This window comes from Homo sapiens, chromosome 9 (genome assembly GCF_000001405.40).
Source record: "Homo sapiens chromosome 9, GRCh38.p14 Primary Assembly".
NCBI classification, from domain to species: Eukaryota; Metazoa; Chordata; class Mammalia; order Primates; family Hominidae; genus Homo; species Homo sapiens.
This window is the reverse complement of record NC_000009.12, coordinates 39,074,052-39,087,031: the sequence shown is the minus strand read 5'-3', so window position 1 is coordinate 39,087,031 and position 12,980 is coordinate 39,074,052. Positions and strand designations below refer to the sequence as shown.

At 40.3% G+C, this 12,980-nt stretch overlaps 1 protein-coding gene across 2 annotated transcripts in view; it reads left to right on the top strand.

Moving 5' to 3' along the window:
- CNTNAP3 (contactin associated protein family member 3) overlaps positions 1-12,980 on the top strand; it is a 223,458-nt gene that overhangs the window by 201,136 nt on the left and 9,342 nt on the right. For both annotated transcript variants that reach the window (NM_001393379.1, NM_033655.5), the window contains 4 exons: positions 183-316; positions 1,209-1,296; positions 8,112-8,342; positions 8,576-8,647. In NM_001393379.1, coding sequence (NP_001380308.1) covers positions 183-316; positions 1,209-1,296; positions 8,112-8,342; positions 8,576-8,647 — 525 coding nt within the window. The remainder of the gene's footprint in view (positions 1-182; positions 317-1,208; positions 1,297-8,111; positions 8,343-8,575; positions 8,648-12,980) is intronic.

Genomic DNA, 12,980 nt, shown 5'->3' with positions numbered 1-12,980 from the left:
CACAGGAATAGCACTTAAGTAATCACTGTTCCGGGAAAGATAACTATTGGGTGCATCTAAATTGATGCTAAATAGATTCAAAAGTGCTGTAAGTAAATAATAATAAAAGTGCTCTAGAATCTGTATCAAGAGTTTTATAAAATACCACTTTAATTTTAAATGCCATTTATTTTTCTTTTTAGGAAGTTTGCAGATTAGGTACAAGCTAGATAGACATCAAAATCCTGATGCATTTACCTTTGATTTTAAAAACATGGCTGATGGGCAACTTCACCAAGTGAAGATTAACAGAGAAGAAGCTGTGGTCATGGTAGAGGTAATCCCACAAATGCAAAAGTCAAACTAACTAATATTATTATTTTAAGAACAAATAATCTAATGAAAAAATTTGATAATATTAATAGAAGAGCAACCCATTCAGTGCTGCTCTTCCATAAGTCAAGAAGAAGCCAAATATGGCCAGGATCTGGGAGAGAGGAGGTGGTTGTTTATTCTGTATTGCTTTGTTTTGTTTGTTTAGCAATGCAATTCTGTCAAAGGTATTATTAATATTTTACTATTTAAAATATCAAAATATCTATTTGTTTTACTTTACTCAATAGGGGAATGTTCTCTAGTTTATCATAGTGACTGCTGGTGGAATCTATTCATTGATACTGCAGTGGGAACTTGTCTTATTCTGATTATAAAAGAACAAATACTTTAGCAACTTAAAAACACGGTTTAAAAGCACACAACATAGTTATTAAAATGGGAATAAGTAAGAAAATAGACCTGAGTCACCACAGAGGAAGTAAATTACACATTGTCATCGGCATTGGAAGGAAAATATACTGTATAGAGAACAACAATGCTTGGTTTTATGTTTCAGATTTTCTCCACAGAATGAGTACATATTTAAGTTTAAAACAACCAATTCCATCTTTTTCATGGATTCTGCCAATTATAGATCCTTCCATTATGAAGAAGAGTAAAGCCAGCAAGTGGGTACATCGTGGATAGAGTGGTAGCTGATGGCATCATAGGAATTGCTTATAAAATAGCTTCTCTTTCTAAATGATTAATTATTTGAAGGTGGCTTCTTGAGCTTTTGTAATGGTACTTAAAAGTGATTTATTTTCATCTTTCCTTTCCTCATCTTCCTTTGCTTCCTTATCATTAAAATTGTACTTTCTGTTGATGTTTGCTTCTCATGGGACATCTAATAGGTTAACCAGAGCACAAAGAAACAAGTCATCTTGTCCTCAGGGACAGAATTCAACGCCGTCAAATCTCTCATATTGGGAAAGGTTTTAGGTAAGTAGGAGAAAGAGCTTTTTCCCAAATAAGTGTCATGTCACAAACTCTGGAAGCATTCATCATGCTGAAAGAAGCTCCTTGTCTTACTTGAATAATAATTTCACAGTGAGTGACAATCAAGGTGCAAACTGTACTCTTGCCTGAGTGTACATATAATCATGACTAAGTGCTACCTGTGAGATGTGCAAGGGCGTTCCTGGAAAAATACCTCCACACTTAACCTCTCACTTGGCAATCATGCATAATGAATCACGGTATTTTTCTAATCCTTCTTGAAAAGTGAAATGTTGTCAAAGCTGACACGAAGTTCACAGATTATGTATGTATTAATCAACATCAACTCCGGAGACCATCATTCAATGATAAAACTACGTTTGAGTTGAACACAAGAGAAAAAACTGGTAATCTTATTACAGCAGATGAATACAGTTTTATTTTTCTCTCAAGCCCTGCTTTGCCTGTTGTTTCCATCCTTTTTGACTTTAGTATCTAACAGGAATGGGGAGGCATATTCATAAATATCTGTTACGCAAGGTAGAAAGTTACAGTAATTGTCTATCATATTGTCTATCATAATCTGTTGTAAAAGCACAGTTAGCTTTACATTTAATAAAGGAACTGAGGAAAGTAATCTTTTTTTAAAAAAACCCATCTTATGTAACTCAATTAAGAAAATGAACTATACTTTAATATTAGGATCAAAAAGTTGAATAATATTTATTATATACATCTTTGTTTCCTTCCAAATAAAGGAGACATGGAATTGAAGGTGTTAATGTTTTCATTCAAGGATGGTATATTCAAAGGCATGTAACTTACGGTATAAAAATCTACATTGAAATTCAGCAATGAAGTATATACTCAGAAGCAATTGATCTTAGAAAATTATAAATATTCATTTTGCCTGTCCTTGGAGGTAGAGATAATCATCAAACATTAATAAAACACTTTATACTTTGAACAACTGTATTTTAGGATTGGTTCTGCTATACATTTTTTGCCACTCTCACATCATTTAGTAATTATACCAAAACTACAATTTTATCTTTAAATTTGGAATTATATAGGAAGTGCTTTCCTTAACTTATAGTAAAATAGACCAACAAGTTGGCTAATAGAGAAGCCACTAATTTTACAAAGAAAGTTACCCAAAACACTCTGTTCTAAGTTACCAATATATTTCTCTTGAGTCCCTGTAAATCTTCGATTCATCCCTTCATTTAAAAATATTTGGTGAGTGGCCGGGTGTGGTGGCTTACGCCTGTAATCCCAGCACTTTGGGAGGCTGAGGCAGGCGGATCACGAGGTCAGGAGATCCAGACCATCCTGGCTAACACGGTGAAACCCCGTCTCTACTAAAAATACAAAAAAAATTAGCCGGGCATGGTGGCGGGCGCCTGTAGTCCCAGCTACTCGGGAGGCTGAGGCAGGAGAATGGCGTGAACCCAGGAGGCGGAGCTTGCAGTGAGCAGAGATCCTGCACTCCAGCCTGGATGACAGAGCGAGACTCTGTCTCAAAAAAAAAAAAAAAAAAAAAACTTGGTGAGCATCTGCTATGAACAGTTTATTAAGCACTGAGAAAGCCTCTGAATGAAACACTATACCTACCCACCCTCACTACACTCACATGTTAATAGGTACATAGGCTAATATATGAGCAATTCTAATAAAATAATGCTCATATCCAGCCTAATTTATTATTATGCACCCTAACAATGCCTTAGAAAAAAATGGTCCAAAATCCATCATAATTAAGATGCTGTTTCTGAGCACCTCAATATGATTTTGCCATTTCTGAGTAGTCTTAGTGAATGAAGACCATTCAGATTGATTATCACAAGATCAATTCAGAGTAAACCTATTTAAATATAAGCTTTTTAGATTTTGAATTTTCTATATAGCTTTGAATTTTATCCAAGAGGTAGCTTTAAAGAATGCAGACACCTAAAATACTTTATAATTCAGTAAAGATGATCCATCATAAATTAAGATTTGTTTTTAGATACTTTGGTATTATTGTATTCTTTCTGTTTTGCTTTGTGTGTGTACATGTGCACATGTATTTAAACACTTTTGAGATGAGTATCACTCTGTCGCCCAGGCTGGAGTGCAGTGGCGCAATCTCGGCTCACTGCAACCTCCGCCTCCCAGGTTCACACGATTCTCCTGCCTCAGCTTCCTGAGTAGCTGGGATTACAGGCATGTACCACCACGCCTGGCTAATTTTTGTAGTTTTAGTAGAGACGGGGTTTCATCATGTTGGTCAGGCTGGTCTCGAATTCCTGACCTTGTGATCCACCCGCCTCAGTCTCCCAAAGTGCTGGGATTACAGGTGTGAGCCACCACACCTGGCCCCTTAAACACTATCTTAAAAATTACATATATATATCAAAAAAACAGAGTGCAAAAATGGAAGATGCCTTTTTGTCTGCTCCCAAAAAGTAAAAAAAAATTAGCCTGTAAACAGTTGCATATGAATACAGCTGAGCTTATATACCTTAGGAGGTATACATTCTAGGCTGAAGAAAAGAAAACCCACTGAAGGACTATATTTCAAATAGAGCTCTAGATATGTAAGAATGCCAAATAGTTTTGGTAATTAAATATTTCTGGAAATTGCCTTTTGAGTTTTGTAAGGAGATGTCACATAAGACATACAGTTTTAACATTTTAAAATTCATCAACCTATGTATTTTATATTACTTCTGTGCTATGGTGTTTGTCTCATTTAGAAGAAATGTTTTATGTTGGGTCTGGGATTTGATTTTACCTGATTTACGAGCTAGGAAGTTAACAGCTTTTAACTGTTTTGTGGATGCTGTCCTGGTACAGAGACAAAGGACCCTACTACTCATGGCACAGCAAGCCTCGTGAGCAGCAGTTCATTTGCATTGTTTTCCCTTGGCCCTGAAGCCTTACGGGGCAGTGATGGGTGCAGATGAAGGCTGCACCTGTGGCCAGGTTTCCACTGCAGCAGAGGAACACTGAGTTTGGGGAATCCACCGATTTTGTAACAAGCACTAAGCAAGTCTGTTCTTTGTCCTGGAGGGGGTCATGACCTTATCCCTCAATGTTGCTTGCTTCAATTATAGCCTTGAGAAGTGGCCTGAGTAAAGTGCTGTCAGCATCTTGCACTTCTTGGCAAACCCAGCAAAGCATGAGGAGACACTCAGAGCCAATGGTGGATTGCCTCTTTCAACATTACAGAATGAAAACACCTAAAAACCCTATAAAAAGTCAAGAAGATAGGAGATTTTGTGGGTTTTTTTTTCCAAGAAAGAGCAATGATTATATCAATTAGTCCTTTATTGGTAAAATGAGGAGGCTGCACTAAGTTATCATCAAGATTCTCTTCGATAGAAAATTCTAAGATTGTTCTAACTTGGTCCATTAACCAGGATTCAGTGGGCATCACAGATGTCTTGAGATCTTTGAAAGTATAAGTCAACAAAACTAATGCTGTCCAATAGAACTTTCTGTGATGATGAAAACGTGTAAAGTCTGTGCTGTCCTATGTGGTAGTCCCCAGACTCACTTGAGATAAATGAGTTTTTAAGCACTAGAAATGTGGCTAGTATAACTGAGGGACTAAATTTTACATTTTATTTAATTTTAATTGATTTGAGTTTCTTTGTTTTTTTTTTTTGAGATCGAGTTTCACTCTGTCATCCAGGCTGGAGTACAGTGGCGTGAACTCGGCTCACTGCAAGCTCTGCCTCCCGGGTTCACGCCATTCTCCTGCCTCAGCCTCCCAAGTAGCTGAGACTACAGGCACCCACCACCATGCCCGGCTAATTTTTTTTTTTTTTTGTATTTTTAGTAGAGATGGGGTTTCACCGTGTTAGCCAGGATGGTCTTGATCTCCTGACCTCATCATCCGCCCACCTCGGCCTCCCAAAGTGCTGGGATTACAGGCATGAGCCACCGTGCCTGGCCTGATTTGAATCTCAATGGTCACATGTGGCTAGTGTCTACCGTATTGCACAGTGTAGAAGACTGTCCACTTATCTAGTCGTTTTTTCCTTTAGTTCAACCAAGTGGCACCCTTTTGTAAGGATAGACATCTGTCTATTTGGCATGACTTCAGTGGGCTGGGAAGACAACCCTATCTCAAATATTTTTTTTCCCACAACGTCAAGTGCCAGTATTTCAAATTCTGTATTAGAGATCCATTCTTTTGACTCTTCTGCCAAAATACATATGCCCCTGAAAGTGTTATCAAAAGCCATGACCAGGAATTTGTGCAAACGTGAATTTACTCGGGAGCAGGCTTTGATGGAACAGAATAGAGAATTGGAAGGGGGCTGGGTGCAGGACCCCGAAGTTGAGAAAGCCCAGAAAGGGAGGCAGACAGGTCACCATACATTTTTGATTAGAGCTATTCAGCTAAGAGAAGCAAAAGTGAAGGGTTTTGACCATGTTGCCATGTCAAGGTAATAGACAGGAAACTGTATCTACATGTCACCACAGTTAAGAGTTGAGTTCTACTGAATATTGGTTAACTGATAAACAATAAATAGTAGTGCTGGCTAAAATCTGGGAGTACAGAATCACGAGTTTCTTCCTGGATTGTGGTGTGATTGCCAGGTACACTTCAGAGTGGGCAAAGGAATGCCTTTCTTTCAGATTTTCCAGCTTAAACAAAGTATATATGGTGATCATTTTCTAATTAAGTCATTTATTAAAGATGTAAGAAAGTTCTCTGTTTCATCAGCTCCAAATTAAACAATTGCTCAAGGTTTTTATTCAGGGTTTTAAAGAGAAGTCTGGCCGGGCGCAGTGGCTCATGCCTGTAATCCTGACACTTTGGGAGGCCGAGGTGGGCAGATCACAAGGTCAAGAGATCGAGACCGTCCTGGCCAAAATGGTGAAATCCCGTCTCTACTAAAAATACACAAAAAAAATTAGCTGGGTGTGGTGGTGCATGCCTGTAGTCCCAACTACTTGGGAGGCTGAGGCAGGAGAATCGCTTGTACCTGGGAGGCGGAGGTTGCAGTGAGCCGAGATCGCGCCACTGCACTCCAGCCTGGGGACAGAGTGAGACTCCATCTCAAAAAAAAAAAAAAAAAAAAGGTCTGCCCTAAAATTATGTGATTCTTCTCTAAACTACAATTATTTAATGTAAAACCATCTTGTATCATGTCAAAAGATAAAAATACTCTTGTTAAGATCGTGTGGCAGACTTTATTCAGGACTATGGCAATAGGTATAGGAATTACTGGAATGGAGCTTTGCAGTTGGGGAAAGAGACTGAGCTCAACTTCAAATACAACAAGGAGAAGTGTGGATTCGTAGCCAAGGAGCAGAGTGGCTGGGGTGGGGTGTCTGAGTGGAAAACTACAAAATGGGAGAGTAATTCTTGCTAAACTGACTCACCAGGTTTCCTGGTGATGCCAGGCCAGTGTTGTCAGACATCACCTGCGGGGTGGTGAGAGGGATGAGAAAGGTGATTAGATATTGAGAGTGATCAGATATTGAGGGTGGGAGATTTGGGTTAAAACCAAATTGGCAGGATTCTTGCTAAGCTGGACGATGAAAGACCAAAGGTCAGGCTGGTTGAGCAGAGAGCTTAGAGTAGCCTGACCAACATCTGGTCATAGGGAGAATCTTTGTCCATCATGTCAAAGTTCTTTCTTGGAAAAAATAAATTATGTAAAGATCCTTGAACTGGAAACATCATAGAAAAATAGAAATGTAAGAGAAATTGTCATTCTGGTCAGGATCTAAATGTACTAGAGTAAAACCAAAGAAGAGTAAAAAGGGAAAAGTGAGAGAAGAAAAAGAAAAATTTCCCAAGCCTCTCATTTAGGGAAGAACTGTTGTGGGGAACCCCGCGGTGGTGTGGGAGGGAGGGTGGGGAGAAAGAACCATGCAATCGCTCATCTCACTGTTGGGAATGGGGGAAAGTTGGAAAAAGAGGATCTTGTTTTCATATAACAGTGTGAAGGCATGATTTTGATTGTGAGGGCTAGGGAAGTTGAGCTCTCAAACTCACAAAAGGGAAAGCAGGAAATAAGAAGGAAACTGATTAAACCAGCAAAATAAAAGGAAAAAAAGAAATAATGTGAAATAAATAGTGTAAGATAAAAAATAAAATCAGATATAGTGGTTATTACTCTAAAGACAAATGGACTAAATTCTGTCAAACTAGCTTTAAAATTAACAGTTAAATGCTCTTACAATATTGAAAATGAAGGGGCATGCCAAGAACTAGCAGGCAACAGCTGATAAATTTAAGAAATGCAGCACTACTTTCAGATAAGATTGAATTTAAGATTGGAATATAATCGAATCTTAAATGAGATAAAGAGGGATATTATCTGATGACAAAAGATACAGTTTATTAAGATAATATGAAAGTCATCATACAAAATAGCAACTATAGTATGAAGGATTTCCAGAGCTCTGCCCTCATCTCCAAGAGTCGCTTTTCTGTAATCCTCCGGATTATTGGCTGTGAGCGCCATTAAAATTTTATTTTAATGCTATATTTTAAAAATTAAATGGCAGAGGATTTCTTAAATTTATGCCATGTAACCGCTTTCCTATGAAGCTCTGTTACTTGCAGAGAGCCAGCCATCTGCACTTGAACGAATCTGTTAAAAACCTGCCTTTCATAACCCTGACAATGGAAATAGTTGCCAGACAGGTAAAGATTCACGGTGACCTCTCCTGGAGTGAAGGAACGAGGGGTTCGGAGGGACCTCTCCTGGAGTGAAGGAACGAGGGTCGCTGTCTTGCAGATGCGGGGTGTGCCTGCGCCCCCATCTCCGCCGCTGCGCCCTAACTGTGTGTTCCCCTTCTGTCCTCAGAGGCTGCCGGCGCGGACCCGGACACAAGGCGGGCGGCGACTAGTGGCTTCACTGGCTGCCTCTCGGCGGTGCGCTTCGGCCGCGCTGCTCCCCTGAAGGCGGCGCTGCGCCCCAGCGGCCCCTCCCGGGTCACCGTCCGCGGCCACGTGGCCCCTATGGCCCGCTGCGCAGCGGGGGCGGCGTCCGGCTCCCCGGCGCGGGAACTGGCTCCCCGACTCGCGGGGGGCGCAGGTGTGTGGCCCTCCACCCCTGCGCACCTGAAACTGCGCTTCTCTCAAATGTTTGTGAATTTCTCAAAAGCCTTCTTTTCTCCGTCTCTGTCATCCTTCTTTTTTTCCTTTTTTAAAATACATTTTTGTGATGTTCTTATTTTAATTCACTTTTAATTGACAAGTTTGCTATGTGTAAATTGTGGCGTGATTAAATCAAGCTAATAAACATCATTCTCCCTTTCCCTGTTGTAGGTCGTTCTGGACCAGCGGATGAGGGAGAGCCCTTGGTTAATGCAGACAGAAGAGACTCTGCTGTCATCGGAGGTAACAAGGCCCTGAATGACCTGGTGCTTGTCATTATCGCTTTAGATAATGATACCATTACTTAGCACAATGGGAAATATATGTAAGAATCAATACTCAATGGTGAGGTCAGAGGGGTGCTATGTATTGCGGTTGGTGGTGGTTTTTTGTTTTTTGTTCTTTGTTTTTTTTCTATTTGAGACAAGAGCCTCACGCTGTCACCCAGGCTGGAGTGCAGTGGTGAGATCTCCACTCACTGCAACCTCTGCCTCCCGGGTTCAAGCGATTCTCCTGCCTCAGCCTCCTGAATAGTTAGGGTTATAAGAGTGTGCCACTATGCCTGGCTAATTTGTTGTGTTTTTGGTAGACACAGGGTTTCTCCGTATTGGCCGTGCTGGTTTCGAACTCCTGGCCTCAAGTGATCTGCCCGCCTCAGCCTCCCAAAGTGCTGAGATCACAGGCGTGAGCCACCATGCCCGGCCTTCGTTGATTTTCTAAGGCAATATTTGCTGATTTCAGCTTCCCTGGGGGTTCTCAGCATGTAAGAATTCTGCCGAAACAATTTTTTTTGAAGAACAGTTACAAAGCTAATACTGAAAAGTTATTAATTTGAAAATAGCTGTATTCCCTAGGACATGTGGGATATTTGTCACGGTAATGACAACTGTTGGACGGACCTGAAGTAATTATGTTCAAAGCAATGGAAACCTCAGCTAATTATCAGAGCATACACTTTATGGTACTTTTCTTCAATGACAAATAGTATGATTTAGATACTCCCATGACAGTGTTTCACTTATTTAAGAAGTTTTTTGTTTGTTTGTTTGTTTGTTTGTTTGTTTGTTTTTTGAGACAGAGTCTCGCTGTGTCGCCCAGGCTGGAGTGCAGTGAAGCAATCTCGACTTACTGCAAGCTCCGCCTCCCGGGTTCACGCCATTCTCCTGCCGCAGCCTCCTGAGTAGCTGAAACTACAGGCGCCCGCCACCACGCCTGGCTATTTTTTGTATTTTTAGTAGAGGCGGGGTTTCACCCTGTTAGCCAGGATGGTCTCGATCTCCTGACCTCGTGATCCACCCGCCTCGGCCTCCCAAAGTGCTGGGATTACAGGCGTGATTATTTAAGAAGTTTTAAAGGCACACATTATTTAAAATGTGTTGTTATTTTAAAGTGTATAATTCCCTGTCATTAAGGACATTTACAATGTTGTGCAGCAGTAGCCATTGTATGTTTCACTTTTAATCATACTTTGGAAAGAACTAATCTCATAGGCTAAGAATGTTTTCTGGTTATTTTTAATTGAAGAAAAGTGAAGTTAAGCATAGCTTAAAAATATGTTTTGGCAATGAAAACTTTTTTTCTAAAATATAATTTATTTAGAGCTGGTGCAAAAAATAAGCATTCACCTTTCCTTGTTAATTAATGAGTGAATTATTGAAATCTTTGTTTGTTTGAGAGGGAGTCTCGCTCGTCGCAAAGGCTGGAGTGCAGTGGCGCCATCTTGGCTCACTGCAAGCTCCGCCTCCCATTCTCCTGCCTCAGCAGCCCAAGTAGCTGGGGATACAGGTGCCCACCACCACGCACGGCTAATTTTTTATATTTTTAGTAGAGACGGGGTTTCACCGTGTTAGCCAGAATGGTCTCGATCTCCTGACCTCATGATCCACCTACCTTGGCCTCCCAAAGTGCTAGGATTACAGGCATGAGCCACCATGCCCGGCCGAGTTATTGAAATCTTAATTGTATTCTTATTCTGCAGACTCTCCATAGCACATACAAGAGTAAACTAGTTGTGTTTGTTTCCTTCAAAATGACAGAAAACAATTTCGACATAATAAAGTTCTGACTAAATTTCAGTTGAGGATATTCACATTTCCATCACTATCTCAATTCTTTTTCTCTTAGAAATCAGTAAGGTGTAAATTAAAAATACATGACCTGATGAACAAAAACTGTTTTAAACAGTTTCCAGTGGGAATGTGGTCAATAATGCATATCTAAAAGGTGTACTTTCGTGTTCAATTTTAAATCAAATCCAATCCTAAATCAATCATGCCTTTTTAGGAGATTTTTTTCATTGCAATGCAAAAGCAATTTCAACATGCCGAACATTTTCACGCTAGGTTTCCAAGTCCTACAGACGTTTACACAATGTCAGGGTTAGTACCCAGCTTTTGGTGAGAAGGAAATGGGCAAGTTGATCATAGAACCAGCTCTTATCTTTGGAATTGTATTATATTGCTGGTGGTCAAATATCACTGGCAAGATTGACGGAGTAAACGTAAGGAAACATCTTAGCAGTGTTCTCTTCCGCTGAGAAATTCTTAGCCTGAACGAGGGGATGAAAAGGAGTCTGTGGAAGGCTTCCCCTGGGCTTTCCCAGAGGCAGTTTGCATTTTCTAATAGGGACTGGCTGAAGATATAAATTAATATTTGTGTGAAGTACTTTAAATGTACGATGTAGGCAGTAAAAGCGTGGGGGAGGAAATATAATTTCTCCTCATCATTCCTAACTTTGTAGTTGGGACAGACCTCTGATTAACAAGAGAAAAACAAGCAAGTTTACTAAGGCATGCAGCCCACAGCACGTGGGAGAAACCTCAGTGAAACTCAAAGCGCAGTGGCTTAGAAGTCTGGCTCATCTTCAACAATACATTTGTGGAGAAATGACAGGACAATGGAAAGCAATTTTAGGTGTCCGAAGGCAAGAAACCGTGGGAAGATAAATATATGGGAAGAAACTAGTGGAATACGTGTGTTTGTACATTCTTCTGCTGACATCCCTGAGCTGGTAAGAATGGTCTCCGGTAAAAGAGAATTTACATCCTGTCTTTAGATGAAAAGAGGGGAGGATCTAGAGAGCTCTTCCTCCATTGGCTGCTTCTTAATTGCCTTTACTTCAAAATATTTGTCAAAAAGGCATATTTGGGGGTGACATATTCTGATTACCTTCAGAAGCTTGTCTTTATACACATTTATTTCTTTTAGGGTAGATTTTACTTTCATTTGTCACTAATATGATTGCTTCAGTACACAGCATTCTGTGGCATGGCTTCATGCTTTAGCACTCTGGCTCTGAATTAAAGCCTGAAACAATTTATAAAGATACTGGTATCCAGGCCTTCCATTCATTTATTCTGATTTACTGACTTAGTGTGCAGCTAGAGTCGAGAATCATGGACACTGCTAATGGTTTCAATATTTTAAAACATTTTGCCCAGGTCTTTCAAATAATCCACATTCCAGGTAAAAAAAAAATGAATAAATATGCCTGCAATATTTTTGGTAATAGGGATTGATTACATATATAAGACACTACTGCGTTTGAGAAGTATATTATCGGCCGGGCGCGGTGGCTCACGCCTGTAATCCCAGCACTTTGGGAGGCCGAGGCGGACGGATCATGAGGTCAGGAGATCGAGACCATCCTAGCTAACACGGTGAAACCCCGTCTCTACTAAAAATGCAAAAAGTTAGCCGGGCGCGGTGGCGGGTGCCTGTAGTCCCAGCTACTCAGGAGCCTGAGGCAGGAGAATGGCGTGAACCTGGGAGGCGGAGCTTGCAGTGAGCCGAGATCGCGCCACTGCACTCCAGACTGGGCGACAGAGCAAGACTCCGTCTCAGAAAAAAAAGAAAAGTGTATTATCATAAAAGTATTTGAAAACAATTTCATTAAAATGTATCCATTTCATTGTACTAACAATAACATGTAATGATCTATGATGATGCAAACACTCTATACTTGTAAAATGATTTAACATTTCCCACTTGTTAACTGAAGGATGTACGCGGTCTTAGAGACATGTATGTCTCTATTCTTTTAAATCTGAAAGCATTATCTAAAACCCAATCATCATATACCTGTAGGGAAAAAGCCTAACACAGCCATATCCAAAAGTCATAGTCCGTCAGAAGTATGTTAAATGTTATAAAATTACTTGACCTCAGCATTTCTGAGTTTTGGTGTTTTCAATTTATAATATAATAGGTGTTTGGTTTATTTTAACCAAACTTAAAAAGCAATGATGTCTGCAAAGCCTCTGATTGGACCAAAAGTCACCATTTATACTCTGACATTGAGGCCAGGCACGGTAACTCACACCTGTAATCCCAACAATTTGGGAGACCAAGGTGAGAGGATCACTTTAGCCCAGGAGTTCGAGACCAGCCTGGGCAACACAGCAACACCCCATCTCTACAAAGAATAATTGTAAAAAGAAAAAAAAAAATAAGCTGAACGGTGGAGTGGGCCTATAGTCTCAGCTACTTGGGAGGATCAAGGCTACAGTTAGCTGTGATCATGCCACTGCACTCCAGCGTGGGCGACAGAGTGAGACCCTCTCTCTAAAAAGAAAAA